Here is a 15,924-nt window from a genome sequence, read left to right as displayed (position 1 = left end):
CCCAGGCTGGAGTGCAGTGGCGTGATGTCAGCTCACTGCAAGCTCCGCTTCCTGGGTTCACACCATTCTCTTGCCTCAGCCTCCTGAGTGGCTGGGACTACAGGCGCCCACCACCACACCCGGCTAATTTTTTTTTCTTTGTATTTTTAGTAGAGATGGGGTTTCACAATGTTAGCCAGGATGGTCTTGATCTCCTGACCTCGTGATCTGCCCTCCTCAGCCTCCCAAAGTGCTGGGATTACAGGCATGAGCCACCATGCCCGGCCTTCTTCTTCTTCTTATAAGGGCACCAATCTCATCATGGGGGCCCCACCCTTAGGGCCTCATCTAAAACCTAATGACTTCCACAAAGCCCCATCTCCAAATGCCATCACATTGGGCATTAGGGATAAGAATTTGGGGTGGGGGGGATACATTCAGTCCATAACAGCGTTCTTTATATAATCTAAATACAAATCCCTTAACAAATATATACTTTGAAAGTACTTTCTCCCATTTTGTGTCTTTTTACTTATTTAATGTTATCTGTTGAAGCACACAAGTTTTTAATATTGATGAAACCTAATTTATGTATTTTGTTGTTGCTTTGTCTTTTGGTATTATTTCTTAGAAACTGTTTAACTCAAGGTTATGAAAAGGTACACTGTATTCTTTTAACAGTTTTATAGTTTTAGTGCTTACATGGCCTGTGATGCATTTTGAGTAAATTTTTGTGTACTTAGTGAGGAAGGGCTCCAACTTCATTCCTTTGTGTGCAGATGTTCATTTATTCCAATACCAATTGTTGAAGAGACTATTCTTTCTCTGGCATTGTTTTGGCAACTTTGTCAAAAATCAGCTGGCCATAAATGTGAGGGTTTATTTCTGGACCTCCATTCCACTCATCTGTAGATCTGTATGTTAATTTTATACTAGTACCATACTACTTCAGTTACTGAGAAGTCTATGAGTCCTCCAACTTAGTTCCTTTTATTTTTTTCAACATTGTTTTGGCTATTCTGTGTTCCTCACATTTCCATATGAATTAGAAGCAGCAGGTCAATCTCTGCAAAACAAAACAAAACCTCAAAAAATAGGTGAGGATTTTGGTTGGGGTTGTGTTCAATCTATAGAAAAATTTGAGGAGTATTTCCATCTTTAACAGTATTAAGTATTCTGATCCATAAACACAGGATATTTTTCCATTTATTTAGATCTTTAAAAAATTTCTTTCAACAATGTTCGTAGTTTTCAGAGTGTAAGCCTTGTACTTTTTTGGGAGGATTAAATTTCTTCCTAAGTAATATATTATTTTTTAATGCTATTGTAAATGGAGTTAACTTGGTTTCATTTTCACATCGTTTATTGCTAGCATATAGAAATACAAATGATTTTTGTATATTCGTTTTGTATATACAAGTGATGGTTAATTTTAGGTGTCCGCTAGACTAAGGAGTACCTAGAGAATGGTAGAGCATTACCTTTGGGTGTGTCTGTGAGGGTGTTTCCAGAGGAGACTGGCGTGGGAGTTGGTGGACTGAGTAGGGAAGATCTGCCCTCAATGTGAGTGGCACCATCCAATGGGCCTGGATAGAACAAAAAAGGTGTCTCTCTCCCGGAGCTGAGACACCCTCCTCTTGCCTTCACACGTTAGTACTCCAGGCCTTCCAGCCTTTGGACTCTAGGACTCACACATGGCTCCCTGGGTTCTTAGGCCTTTGGCCTTGAATTGAGCTGTGCCCCGGCATCCCCGGGTCTCCAGCTTGCAGACTGCCGACTGCGTATTGTGGGTCTTTCAGCCTCCATGATCGCTGTGAGCCAGTTCCCCAAATGAATCCCCTCTCATGCATTTCCATATGTACATCCTATTGGCTCTGTCTCTCTGGCCAACTCTGACTAATACATTTTGTCCGTTGGCATGTGCTTGCTCAAAGATGGACTATCTTCCCCCTCAAGCCACCGTTTCTCATGGGAAACTCCCCTGTTTCTCATGAGATCCCCCATTCATCCAGGGAGCCTTGGGGTGCTTCAGTTTCTTTCACAATCAGGGAGTCACCAAGCGCTGCCGAGGGCTTCTCTGCTAAGGATGCCCGTTGTCTCCCGGCCTGCTCTCAAGGGAACCCCACAGCTTCTCTCTCACCCTTCCCTCTCCCAGATGGCGAAGGTCTAACCTGGTCAGTGCCTGATGGGAAGGGCCTGGAACCGAGCCTTTCCTGAGAGGGCTCCTGTTTCTCCCTGTGCCTTCCTCAGACCATGCCAACTGGGGTCCCCACTCGCCTCCCCAAGAGAGGCCCCTGCCTGTGCTTGTTTTCAGGACGAGCTCCCTTACTCATCCGGAGCAGCGTCCAGGCCCGCAGGACTGAGCACACCCTGGCATCTCCAGTGTGGGCTCAACGGGGCTGGGTCTTCTAGTTGTGCTTTTCTTTGTGATGGTCCCGCCAGGTGGAGCTGCATGTACTTATTGTGGCTGAAACACATGGTTTTGTTTGTTTGTTTGTTTGTTTGAGACGGAGCCTCACTCTGTTGCCCTGGCTGAAGTACAGTGGCAAGATCTCAGCTCACTGCAAGCTCTGCCTCCCAGGTTCAAGCAATTCTCCTGCCTCAGCCTCTCAAGTAGCTGGGATTACAGGTGTGCACCACCACGACCGGCTAATTTTTTCGTCTTTTCAGTAGAGATGGGATTTCGCCATGTTGTCCAGGCTGGTCTTGAACTCCTGACTTCTGGTGATCCGCCTGCCTCTGCCTCCCAAAGTGCTGGGATTACAGGCGTGAGCCACCCTGCCTGGCCTGAAACATGTTTTTTTCCAAAAGAGACTGTTGTTAATTGTTCCCAGGACCACAGTCTGGAACACTCCAAAAAATACCCTTGCCGCCTTCAGATCTTTCTTAGGCTACAAGAGAAATACTTTCGAGACCATCCTGGCCAACATGGTGAAACACCATCTCTACTAAAAATACAAAATTAGCAAAGCATGGTGGCGTGCCTGAAGTCCCAGCTACCCGGGAGGCTGAGGCAGGAGAATTGCTTGAACCCGGGAGGCTGTGGTTGCAGTGAGCCAAGATGGCACCACTGCACTCCAGCCTGGGCAACAGAGTGAGACTCTGTCTCAAAAAAAAAAAAAAAAAAAAAAGGAATACTTTCAGATGGTCCTTCTTGGCAGGAATGAGTTCCATCCTGGCCTAGGGTCTTTACCTTGCCCTGAATCTCTTTGTGGGTCACCAAACTTATGGACTGACCAGGCTGGGCCTTGTACTTGGCTGGACCCATGCTGCCTGGCTCCCGAGCCCTTTGCATTAGGCCTTCCCAGCATTTGTTCTTCATCCCTCCTTGGTGGCAACCCTGTTTGCCTGGTGTCCCCGGTGACACCTGGCACTGTGTGTGTTCAGGAGGTGGGCAATAGAGCCCGATGCCTGGCTCTGATTCCTCTTCTGTCCCCCATAGCTGCATGATCTTGGGCGAGCTGCTTAACCTTTCTGTAAACCTCATCAGTAAGCTGGAGTTGCTGGCACTGGCCTCACGGGTCCTTGTGGAGATTACATGACTTGGTTCTTGTCGGGACTTAGAACTCCCTGTGGCATGCAGAGGCCCTGAGGGATGGCTAAGTGCTATTGTTATTATTACTGCCTGTGAGCTGTAGTGCACACACAAAATGTGTCCTTAAGCGAAGTGACAATATTGTGATCTTGTTTTTCAACTCATTACTTTGCCTCCACGTTAATGAGCCGCCCTAGCAGTTCTCAAATTGTAGCCCAGAAGGCTTGTTAAGTACACAATGCCTGGCCCCACCCACAGATCTGGGTGAGTCTGAGATTCTGCCTTTCTAAGGACTTCCTTGGGGCTGCAGCCGCTGCTCCTCATTGGGCACTTTGAGAACCACTGCTCTGTGGGGTGTGTGCCCTGTGCGCGCCTGTGTGTGCCTGTGTGAATGTATGCCTGTGTGAATGTGTGTGTGTTTGTGCGTTCGTGTGTGTGCCTGTGTGCACGCAGGTGCCTGCATGTGTGTGCCTGTGCTTAGATGTGTATGCCCGTGTGGATGCATGCGTGTGTGCAGGTGTGCCTGTGCCTTCTCATGGCCCAGGTGAGCTGCCAGCAGTTACCCGCACCCCCACCTCAGTTAGCCCTCGGTGTGGGGCACAGGAGCCCAGGTTGGAAGCTGTAGGAACTCGGGGTCCTGTCTTTGGGCACAGCCTGGTGAACCGTGGTCTTTGTTCCCCAGGTGCTTCAGTGGAGCAGGCCATGGCCAACCTTTGTTTCTTCTTCCAGCGGGAGGATTAGGACCGGATTCTGGGTGGGAAGCAGCCTTGGTTTTTATTTGCTGGGCTTGGCGGCCTATATCCGGAGGACCTGTGGTCGTCGTTTCCACCCTCTCCCCCTCCTTCTCCAAGTTAACCCCTTTATTTTCTCCTGTTCATTTCAACAGGATTTATGCTTGATTAAGTTACTCTCTTTTATCATAATTAAAGAAAAATGTGGTGGGAGAGCGCTAAATACTCCGTTCAATGAAAACCAGATTGTTGAACCTGCAGGGAAACAAGGGCTGCCCTGTGGCTCCAGGCCCCTCCCAGGGAGATTGATCGCTGGGAGCTGTGGGGAGGGGGCGGAGGGGAGGGGATTTAAGCTCCTCAGGGAGGAAGTTGCCTGCTCCTGCCGGCCCAGAAGACAGGGGCCTGCCTCCGGGCTTGCCACCCCCTCGTCCTGGGTCCTGCCTAGCAGCCGGTGTGTAACATCTCACTCCTGACGCAGTCAGGCACTGCTCTGCACACAGGCCCTGGATTTATAAAGGCCTTTTTCTCATGGTGCCTGCGAGTCTCCTGCTGTAGAACACGACCTACTGGAATGTTTTTAAAAAGTGTGTTTTTAGTTGACTCAGTTCCTCATGCTGGTCGCAGTTGCTCATAAAGGCAAGGCTGTGTAAAAATCCTGCCGAAGCCCTGGCAGTCACAAAGCCCTTGCTCCAAGCTGGGACCTGGAGTGGCGGGGCGGCGAGGCCCCACCGCCTGCCCAGTGAGGTCAAGCCTGGCTGCGGGTGGTTCCTGTGCAAAAGGGAAGGCTGCCTTCATGTTGCTTAGGAAATTGTTTCTGTAATATGTGTAGGATTCTAAAAATGGTTAGACCTGTGTAGTTGGATGGGAGGGGAGGAGGTGATGACTGCAGGCTGGGTGGCCTCCCCGATGGTCACTCGTGAAACAAGATGGCAGGTTCAGGAGCCATGGTCTAGTCTCCTCTCTGCCACACTGCACATAAGTGTGCATGGGCACCTGGTGAAGGGGTTGTTTTAGGGGATGGGAGTGAACACAGGCTCTGGGAGTGAACACGGATTCTGGAGACTCAAGACAGGGGCCCTGCCACTTACCAGTAGTAGGGTGACCTCAAGTGAGTACCTTAGTAGAGAATGGTGGAATTTGTTCCTCGTCCATTGTGGATGGTTAAAATAATACCCCTGGCATGGGACTGTTGTGGGGACTCTATGAGCTTGAGCAGTGAGGCAGCCAGCACAGCAAGCATCCCAGTGCATGTTGGGAATTGCCATTGTTATGGGCCATCTGTTTAGGAGGTAGAGCCTCAGACAAGGACATCGTATTTGTCAGCTCAGTCTGCCGTAAGTACCCCAGACTGGGCAGCTTAAACAACGTTCATTCTCTCACAGCCCTGGAGGTGGAAGTGTGAGATCAAGGTGTCAGCAGGGTTGGTTTCTCCTGAGGCCTTGCTCCTTGGCTTGCAGTTGGCTGTCCTCTCCCTGACTCATCACGTGGTCGTCCCTCTGTGTGTGTCTGTGTCATCTCTTCTCCTTATAGGACACCAGTCAGGTTGGGGTAGGGCCCACTCATATGACCTTGTTTTTACCTTAATCTCCTCTTTAAAAGTCTGTCTCCAAATGCATTCTAAGGTACTAGGAGTTAGGGCTTCAGCCTGTGAATTTTGGAGGAACACAATTTAGCCCAGACATGCAATTTAACTTACAGCATTTTGAGCATATTAAGGTCTCGTTTTGTTGCCCAGGCTAGAGTGCAGTGGTGCAACCACAGCTCACTGAAGCCTCCACCTGCTGGGCTAGGTGATCCTCCTGCCTCAGCTGCACAAGTAGCTGGGACTACAGGCACACACCACCATGCCTGGCTAATTTTACTTTGTTCGTGGAGACAGGGTCTTGCCATGTTGCCCAGGCTGGTCTCAAACTCCTGGCCTCAAGCCCACCTCAGCCTCCTGAGTTGCTGGGATTACAGGCTTGAGCCACTGCACCCAGCTTATTTATGGGTTACAAGGACAATTCGTTTTTCTTTTAAATTTACTTTTTGTTGGGAAGTCCCAACAAATGCTAGGAAGACCTAGCATTCCAAGATTTTATGGGTAACCTCTGGAACCTGTTTATTTCTGCCTCTCTGGCTCACTGGGGGCTCCTGGAACCCAGAGCCCCAGGATCATTCTGGTGGTGCGGCCCCGGTGCCTCACCCGGCCGGCAGGTGTATCAGACTTCTGTGCAGCAGTGTCTCTTGGGGGTGCTGACCCCAAGGCCGCCCTGGTCCCTCCTCTCTGAGGTAGCATCCCAGAGTTGTGTAGTTACGCTGGTCCTCTGCTTCCAGATGCTTCTCCCCCATACCACCCCCATTCCCCTCATCCATGCCACCATGTCATGATGTCCGTAAACCAGCAGCCAGAGGAGGAAGCCTGTTCACACTGCTCCCCGCTGGGGAGAAGCATTCCTCCAGCAAAGGCAGGCTGATTGCCCCTGGGTGTCCCTTCCTTCTCTAAGATGCTTACCCTGCCACTGGGGGCAGGAAACTGGGGGTGGAGGTCACTGTTCCATGGAAAGGGCTGTTCCAGTGCTGTGGGAGATGAACCTTCACCCCTCCCTTCTCGGCCTGGGATCAGGACTTTTCAGCCTGCATGATCTCCCGACCTCGCCTAGGGCCAGGCTGCCCTGGCGGGAGGGCCGAACGCCGTGCCCTGATCTCTCTGGGCTGAGTCCTGTCTCAGGAGCACTTGTCATGCACGCTCAGACACTCCTGTGGGAGGAAAGTTGCAGGGCCTGGGCTTTCTGGGCACGTGCTGCTCTCTTGCTAGGAGTGAGGATGGATGGACTCTAGGAGCAACTATTAGCAATCCAGCAGGAGCTTCCTCCAGCCTGCGAGCATTGAGTCTAATGTGAACGTGGGTCCTGTGGGATAAGGGGAGGCACTTGTTGGGATGGGGTGTGGGGTGATAATTTGACTTAAAGTTAAGATATTTTTAAGAGTAATTAAGTTAAATTTTATGTTCACGAGGCCTACAGAACAGTTCCATTCTCCTGAAAATGTTGTTTGAAGCATTTTAATATCAGTTGTAATATAAGCTATTGATGTGTCTTTTCATTTGCCTTTACTAAAATATTGGAGGCATATCTTCTAGTTACTAATTATTCTAATTGATGGATTAAAGTAGTTTTTAAAATAAAAGGCTTTGCTAATTCCCTGCTGGCTCATCCAAGCCAAATGGCCGGTGGCAATGCTATTTAAACAGCACTCTACCATTCAAACCTTACCTCTAACGAGAGGCAAAGCAGTGAGGTCTTATTCTAAAAGTGCATGTGTAAGTGGTTTTGCTTGATCCAGCGTTTAGGTCTGAGACCTCCAGCTTACCAACCGCCTTCCACTTTGCAGCCCTCTCAGAGGCAGCGGAGACTCCAGGGCCCTGAGATTCTGATCCTGCACTCCTCCTATCACGTGACCTCGGCTCCTTAAAAGAGGACACTTGCTCTTAATTTTCTTGTCTACAAAACTGGGGCAGCAATAGGAAGGCCAGTCTCCTTCACTGAGGGATTCCGGGTAAAATGAAATGACTGCCTCATTACCTTGCAGTGACAACTCTGCAAATGGAGTACTGTCTTTGAACAGAAGGTCAGCAGCAGCAGAGTGTGCTGTCTGTGCTTGTCTGTGACAAGAAAAGACCATGCCAGTCAAGTCTTGGTCGTTATGTAGTGGAGAGTGTTGCCATTGGCCCCTATCCTACGCCTCACCACCTCCTGCAGGCTGCTGACTCCACGCCCTTGTGACTTGGTCACAGGACTTTCCTGGCCAGGGTACTTGGTCTACAGGCAAGGTACAGTCGGGTGCTGGGAGCCAGTGCATCCCCCTGCTATCAGCAATCCTCCAACAATAAGCCCTCATTGGGTAGTGAATGCTCCAGCTGCCTTGCCTATGGGGGTGGGCAGCTCTGAGACGTAGGGTCTGTGTGGCCTCCCACAGGGGCCCAGTGTCTTGCGTGGTGTTGCCCATAGCAGGAACCTACTCATGCACTACCTCTGGGCCTCTTCCCCTTCTCCTCTCCTTCCTACTCCACTTCAGGGCCCCCTGGCTTCATCTCCCAAATGCACTCTGGATTGACTTCTTGGGGAGCCCAATCTATGATGGAAATATTACAGATATTGGCCAAGGAACACTTTGTTCCTCAGCGTCTCATGCACCCTCACTCTGCTCACAGCTTGCTGCTTCCTTTTAGATTTCATGTCTCTCTGCCATTTCCCACAGTCCTTGCTGCCCACAGCCCCATCAGGCCGAGTTGAATATTCATGCATGAAAATTTGACCAACTCGGCTCTTCATGCGCTACTGTCACAGCATCAGCCCGGGCACTGTAGATTCTCAGAGTGGGATGTCGAGTGGGACGTGTCCTGTTGTCTTGAATTAGCAGCCAGTACCCAGAGTGAGGACCAAGGGGGTGAGGTAGCCCTTGGTCTCAGGAGCACTGCCTGTCATAGGGGTGGATACTACTCCTCGGGGCTTCAGAGCGGGTCCTGCACCCACCTGAGTCTCTTGTGTTGATCAGGGTGTAGTGGAGGGCTGGAGGCTGGACAGCACCTGCCCTCCCAACTTGACTTGTCACAGTACTGTGTCTGCAAAGGCCATCTATGTGGAGCCACACCTCCCGGGACCTTCTGCTTCACTCTGCCCCGGTGCCACCTTTTTGACCCCAGGCTGTGTCCTCTGGTGCCACCTCCCCTCCTTCTTCCACCTCACCTGTTGGGGCCACCTTACCTATTCACAGCACGGTCACCTTTCCCAGTAACTCTGGTTGGGTCGTTAAACTCGCCCGCCCTCTGGCCGTTGAGTCCTGGTGCCCTCTGATCAGGCCCATCCCGGAGGAGCCCTGCTGTTTTGGTCTCCGGACTCAGGCCTGGCAATCCCAGGGGCAAAGGCCCAACCCCAGGCATAGATCAGACCCCTCATGCCTCAGCCCCAGTCCCCAGCCAGTCTCCCACAGCCTGGCTGCCTCATCGCCTTGCTCTGGGGCTGGTCCTCCACGCTCCATGGTGGTTATTTTTACCCTCACCCCCGCCCACAACCTCGCGCTCCGCCAGCCTTTCTGGAGTGTGCTCACAGAGCATGCGCTGAAGAGGGAGCAAGGAAGGTGGCGAACGCAGGAGGGGCAGCCGTGTCCAGTGCTGCACTGTGTCCGGTGGCAGAGGCCTGTGCCAGTGGGAAGGTCAGAAATCTCCCTTCTCTTCACTCTCTTCAGAGGAGAAAGAAGTCTTCAGAAGGGGAATCCCCCAAGTTCTTGGTCCATTTTCCTATAGGCATCCTTGTCCTCTTCTTTCCTGTTAGGATAGGAATGATTTCTTTAACTTTTTGAAGACAGTGCCTTGGCCTGTTACACGGACCCTATTTTTTACCGACTTCTTATGGACTTACATTGTGTGTGTGGGTGTGTGTGTGTGTGTGTGTGTGTGTTTGTGTGTTTTCCATTTATTTGTAACTCTGCCCTTTCAACTGAATCCAGATGGGCTCAAGTTCCCTGGTGTGAAGAGAAGACAAAATGCTGCCCTCCGCACCTCTTTCAGGAAATCCTCCTGTATTATATTTTGAATGCAGCTCCCTCCACCATCTGGGATGGAGTCATTGCTTTACAGCAGTCATAGCTGCTGTCATGAAAGATGAAGCTGGTCTCCAGGACACTAGGAGGTTGCAAAGAGCCACATGAGTTTATTGGATATGACAGAATTTCTCCAAGTGGGGAAGCTAAATTAAGCAAATGGTAAGTATACATTTTGTAAAATGATAAAACTCTCATTAGTTGTGGTTGGTTCAGTTGTCTATTTAGAAAATGCAAGGGACTCAACTGAAAATGTTAGCACCAATACAGAGATGTAGTATGTTGGCTGGAGGATTCAGGACCAACTTAGAAACATCAGTGGCATTTTTATATATCTGTAACCATAAAAATAAGTAATAGAAAAAAAACCAGTAGCAGCAAAGCCATTCAGATACCCAGGAATAACCTTAGTGAGAAAGGCACAACACTCCTGAGACTTCACTGAAAAATTTGAAAGAAGATTAGACTAACTGGAGAAGAAAACCCTATTGTCTTTTTTTTTTTTTTTTAACAGAGTCTTGCACCGTCACCCAGGCTGGCGTGCAATGGTGCCATCTCGGCTCACTGCAACTTCCGTCTCCCAGGTTCACGCGATTCTCCTGTCTCAGCCTCCCGAGTAGCTGTGATTACAGGCGCGCACTACCACATCCGGCTAATTCTTTGTACTTTTAGTAGAGACAGGGTTTCGCTCTGTTGGCCACACTGGTCTGGAACTACTGACCTCATGATCTGCCCGCTTCGGCCTCCCAAAGTGCTGGGATTACAGGCATGAACCACCATGCCCGGCCAGAAAACCCTATTGTTAACGGGAAAGTAATATTGTAACGATATCTGTTCTCCCAAAATTAAAATACAAATTTAATACAGTTCCAACTAGCACCCCAGTAAGTTATTTTATAGAATTTGGCTTGCTGTTTCTGAAGTCCACGTAGAACTGAAAATGAGCAAGAAGAACCAAGACAGAAAAAGTGAAATTATCGTGAGAACCTTGCTCTACCCAGTGTCAAAATGTATTGTCATAATTAAATAGACAAATAGATCAAAAGAAGAGAATAGATAATCCACACACAGACCTATGGAATATATGGAATTTTTTTTCTTTTTCTTTTCTTTTCTTTTTTTTTTTTTTGAGACGGAGTCTTGCTCTGTCGCCCAGGGTGGAGTGTGCAGTGGCGTGATTTCAGCTCACTGCTAGCTCCACCTCCCGGGTTCAAGCGATTCTCCTGCCTCAGCCTCCTGAGTAGCTGGGACTACAGGCATGTGCTACCATACCTGGCTAATTTTTTGTATTTTTAGTAGAGATGGAGTTTCAACGTGTTAGCCTGGATGGTCTCGATCTCCTGACCTCTTGATCCATCTGCCTCGGCCTCCCAAAGTGCTGGGATTACAGGCATGAGCCACCGCGCCCGGCCGGAATCTATGGAATTTATTAAGTGATAAATTCACTCACTTTTCCAATGAGTGGGGAAATAGTGAAGTTTTAAATAAATGATGTTAGAACAATTGAGTGTGCCTTTGGGAGAAGATCATATTAGACATCTGTTTTAATACCAGTCACCCCCTGAAAAAAATAGATGAGAATTTGTTTATGACATTGAGGTAGGAAAATCGTTCTTAATAAGTCAACAAGAACTGTAATAGAAATAATTGGTAAATCTTAATAGAAGCCCTATTGAAGGGGCAAAGGACAATTTTTAAAGGGATTCTCAAAAAATAATATATAAATAGTAAAATTAGAGAAGAGACTCATCTTTGCGAGTTACGTTAATTTCCTCTGGCTGCTGTGACCAATACACACTTAGTTGCTTAAAACAAGACAAATTTATCCCCTTACAGTTCTGCAGGCCAGAAGTCTAGCCTGGGTGGGTGTGGCCTCACAGCCCCACAGCCTCTTCCCATTTCCTGGCCTTCTCTGGCTTCCAGACCCACCTGGGTTCATGGCCCCTTGTCCATCTTCAGAGCCAGCAGCATGGTTTCCCTGTCTCCTTCCCTTTGCTTCAGCGTCACAGTCTTTTCTTGTGGTCCTGAAGGACCTTTGTGGGTACTTTGGGCCCACCTGATTGTCCAGGGTCGTCTCTTCATCTCAGGATTCTTAATTTAATCACACCCACAAAGTCCCCTTAGCCATGTAAGGCCACATGGTCACAGGTTCTGGGGATTACAATGTGGCCATCTTGGGTGGATCCTTACTCTGTCTTCCACACTATATTAGGAAACATAAAATAACATAAGTTATGATTTCTAACTATATTAGCAGGGTTTAAGGTGAGGGTATGGGGAAATGGGCATTTTAATAAACTGTGGAGTATAGATTACCACATCCACTTTGGAGGACAGTCAGCTGTCCTTAAAATCAATAACAGGTGCACCCACAAACCCAGTAATTCTGTGTCTTGGGATTTGCCTTCCAGACATACTGAGCTCAGGGCACAGAGAAGTCGATATGAGGATATTCATAGCAATGCTGTTTGTGGGAGAAAAAGAAATAACTTAAGTGTTTATTGCTTTGGAAATGACCAGAAAACCAACTCATAAATATGGAATATTAGTGCTAGGGAATATTACACAGCAATGAAGAAAATGAGGTGACTCAAACCTCAAAGATCTCCAAGTAGCATGCAGATAGTGATGCTATTTAGGCCAAACAACATGTTCAAAACACGATATTCCTACAGGCAGAGGAAGATTTGAAAGCGTAAATGACACAGTACTAACTGGTTCTATCTGGGGAGGTTGAAGTCATGTCCAAGAGACTTCAGCTTTATCTACAAGTGTGACTCAAAGAGAGGAGTGTATTCACGTAATACTTGCATAGTATAAAAGAAAGTTTCAAATGTAAGGGTATAATGAAACACAATAAAGGGCATAATGAAACAAAAGGTCAGATATTCTGTAGTAATCTCCAGAAGTCCACATTCTTTAGGAAATCAAATTTGATTCTAGGGCTGTGGATTACATATGAACATGGCCATGTGGCCTAGGGTGGGAATCAGGGTCAGAGCCCAGGGTTCTTTCTAGCCGGCTTCCTTGGAAGTGTTAGTTTTAACAGGAAAGTTGAAGAGAAGAGGGGAGCTTGGAAGCACATCTTTGAAAGTGAAGAGATTGCGTTTTCGCCAGTCAAGATATTTTCCATGTGGCAGTTTATTTCTACCTACAGGGCCCCTTTATTTGATCTCTTGTTCTCTTTCCTCACCCCTGGATTGATTCTCCATGTTGAAATCAAGAAAAGCCTGGGAATCTCATCTGACCGTAGTTGGGAGGTAAAGAAGAGCTTGTGGGAACATTTCCTGTGATTCTCTTGAAATTACAAAACCACTCAAGAAAGGGTTTGGTCCCATGGTAAGGTTGGCCAAGGTGATCTCAAGCAAGCCCTAGAGTCACTTCCGAAGTGTGGGCACCTGCTAGACATGCCTGCTAGATATCTGTTCGGATGGGATGATGGAGGGTGGTCGCTGTGGAACTGCACTTAGGGCTGGGGAATGTTTCCCTGTAGACTCACTGCAGTCCATTGTAAGAGTCCTGATGTTCCTAGACAATAATACCTTTTAAGGAATTGTAATTGCTTTAAAAATCTCCAAACACTAGAATGTGTATCTCCCCTTTGTATGCTACCTGGATAATAGTATAAACATGTTCCCAACTCTCAGCCAGCATGAGTCTAGTACAGTATTTCAACTACAGCCTTAGGTCCAACTGTTTTTTTTTTTTTTTTTTTTTTCTTCCCCCCTGAGACGGAGTCTCACTCTGTCGCCCAGCCTGGAGTGCAATGGAGCGATCTCAGCTCACTGCAACCTCTGCCTCCCAGGTTCAAGCGATTCTCCCTGCCTCAGTCTCCCGAGTATCTGGGATTATGGGCATGCACCACCACACCTGGCTAATTTTGTATTTTTAGTAGTGTTTCGCCATGTTGGCCAGGCTGGTCTTGAACTTCCGACCTCAGGTGATCCACCCAACTCGGCCTCCTAAAGTTCTGGGATTACAGGCATGAGCCACCTTGCCTGGCCCCAAATGTTATTTTTAAAAAATTAAGCGTTAGCCAGATTGATTAAAACACAGATGGCACTGAGCAGAGCCCCCATATATCTACGTCCATCATCTGATGCCCTGCCTCCAGATGGGTGGACAGACAGAGGTCCACTCCTTTTCTGAAAAACCAGCAGAGTTTACATACAGCTCCGCTCCCCTGGTTTAATTTAATTTAATTTCCATGCTTCACTGTTAATACTGACCTTCAAGGTAGGGGATTCGCAGGAAAAGAGTTCTTTGTCAGCTTATTGAATGGCATTCTGTCTTGATTAGGACTGGCATGCATACGTTATCAGAAGTAGAAATCAAGAAATAGCATCAAACCAACATATTTCCTTGTTATGTTTTGGTAAAATCACATCCATTTCCATGGTGAGAGAAGACTCGAGTATCCTTGGTTTTGTGCCCCAGGTGATAAGGCTCTTCAAGTTTCTGCTTGCTCTGAAAGATTCCACAATATAAATAACTTTCTTTAAAAGGCTCATCTGTTTCACATTTTGAGACAGTTTCTGTACTGCCAGGCAGAGCTGCTAGCCAGGAGTTCTGCTGAAGCTGGCTCCTGCATCCTTCCCGTCCTGGAGAGTGAGTCTGCGTGGGTGTTTCCTGCAAGATCAAAGCCTGACTTGAGCTTGGTCGAGCGGAACTTGAGTTCTGGGGAGTGTGATTCTTGGTGGCAGCGAAGACGTGAAGGATGTCTTCCTGCGACCAGCATCTCCTGGCCGGCAAGGGCAGGATCCATCATGTGCTGGGAGTGGGGTTCATTCTCAGGCCTGCTCTCGACCCTCAGCCCTGGCAGGCTGCACACGGAAATGAGAAAAGCGGCTCTGGAGGAGAGCTGGGGTGCAGTTGGGTCCCGCCTGCCTGGGCTTACTTTGAAAGACTGGAACTGTTGCTGTATGAGCTGGCTCCTGCAGGGCCTCCTCTGGCGCCCTCAAGTCTCTTTATGTGGGAAGTGGGGGGACTGCATTAGGGAGCCCTTTCTGGGGGAGTATATGTGTGGTATGCAAATGAAGCCTGCTTCCCATGTTTTGGTGCCTTGTACAGAGGAGCAAGGGGGCGTCGAGGGACCTGGCAGTAGATCTTGTCTGCAAAGGACTACCTCTGGAATTTGGGGAGATGGTAGCGAGGCCTAATGAGGGGTCCAGGAGGGAGGGAAAGTGGCCTCCCAGAGGGGTCAGGCTTTCTGTCCAGTGGGACAGGCACTTCTCCCGTCTTTCTGGTTCTAAGTCTGTCTGTGCTGTCTGCAGACCTGCACATACTGATGCCTTAAAGCTCTCATTTCATTTCTCTGTTGAATCTTGCTTTAAGAAGGATGGGGCCACACCCACCTTGAGCCCACATTCCCTCCTTGTAGTCATCCTCCATCTTCCCCCATTTCCCCCCGGCCCAATCCATGCCATTTGTGTCTGTGAGCCTTTGCATGTGCTGTTCCCTCAGCTTGTGATGTCTGCAGCTCTGCCCCATGGTGAATCCATGCGGTACCCTGTGGTTATCTGGGTACCAGAAGGGCACCTCTTCTTAAACATGTCTATAGCCGCTTTGACAGATAATTTCTGGAGGCACAGTTCTGTTCCTGAAGTCATTGATATTTGAGCCCCATCTGCCCTAGAAGGCAACGGAGTGGTACCTGAAAAGACAGACTCCAGCCCAGTGGCTTTCCAAGGGTCTTCTCCAGAGCTCTGGAGTTCAAACAAGGTTCAGGGACCACCGCAAATGAGGTTCAGGGACCACCGCAGAGGGTGCTTATCAGGGGGCTGAGGGTACAGGCAAGACTCGAAACTTGAAATCCGAAACCTCTGGCCTGCTTGAATGGAGCAGCTCCATTGCATTGTGGTTACTGAGGTTTCTCCTGAGATTTCCTTGAGAACCTTCAATTCTCTGCAGAAAGTCTGCTCTGTAGGCTCCAGATGCCCTGACAAAGCACCGAGACTGGGCGGCTTAAACAGCAGACATTGATTTCCTACAGTTTGGAGGCTGGAGGTCCATAGTGAAGGTGTTAGCAGATTTGGTTTCTGGTGAGGGCTCTCTTCTTGGCTTGTAGATGGCCGCCTTCTCACTGCATCCTCATGGGGT

The 15,924-nt window shown here is 48.6% G+C and overlaps 1 protein-coding gene and 1 long non-coding RNA gene across 8 annotated transcripts in view, besides 2 other annotated features; both read left to right on the top strand.

The window, feature by feature from the left end:
- Positions 1 to 15,924, top strand: part of ROR2 (receptor tyrosine kinase like orphan receptor 2) — a 227,628-nt gene that overhangs the window by 87,921 nt on the left and 123,783 nt on the right. The gene's annotated exons all lie outside the window — the stretch shown is intronic.
- On the top strand, positions 3,095 to 11,328 carry LOC124902210 (uncharacterized). The gene is made up of 3 exons (XR_007061662.1): positions 3,095 to 9,438; positions 9,825 to 9,987; positions 10,340 to 11,328. It is a non-coding gene; the product is annotated as an uncharacterized LOC124902210 (long non-coding RNA).
- Positions 4,124 to 4,783: an enhancer, noted in NCBI's record as "H3K27ac-H3K4me1 hESC enhancer chr9:94619807-94620466 (GRCh37/hg19 assembly coordinates)". NCBI's record gives its function as "activates a minimal SCP1, AML or CMV promoter by ChIP-STARR-seq in naive H9 embryonic stem cells {active_cell/tissue: H9 hESC(naive)}" and the evidence as "EXISTENCE:reporter gene assay evidence [ECO:0000049][PMID:30033119]".
- Positions 4,784 to 5,443: an enhancer, noted in NCBI's record as "H3K27ac-H3K4me1 hESC enhancer chr9:94619147-94619806 (GRCh37/hg19 assembly coordinates)". NCBI's record gives its function as "activates a minimal SCP1, AML or CMV promoter by ChIP-STARR-seq in naive H9 embryonic stem cells {active_cell/tissue: H9 hESC(naive)}" and the evidence as "EXISTENCE:reporter gene assay evidence [ECO:0000049][PMID:30033119]".

The sequence above is a fragment of the Homo sapiens genome, chromosome 9 (assembly GCF_000001405.40).
Source record: "Homo sapiens chromosome 9, GRCh38.p14 Primary Assembly".
In the NCBI taxonomy this organism is placed as follows: domain Eukaryota; kingdom Metazoa; phylum Chordata; class Mammalia; order Primates; family Hominidae; genus Homo; species Homo sapiens.
Note: the sequence above shows the minus strand (reverse complement) of the source record. Positions and strands in the feature narration are given on the sequence as shown.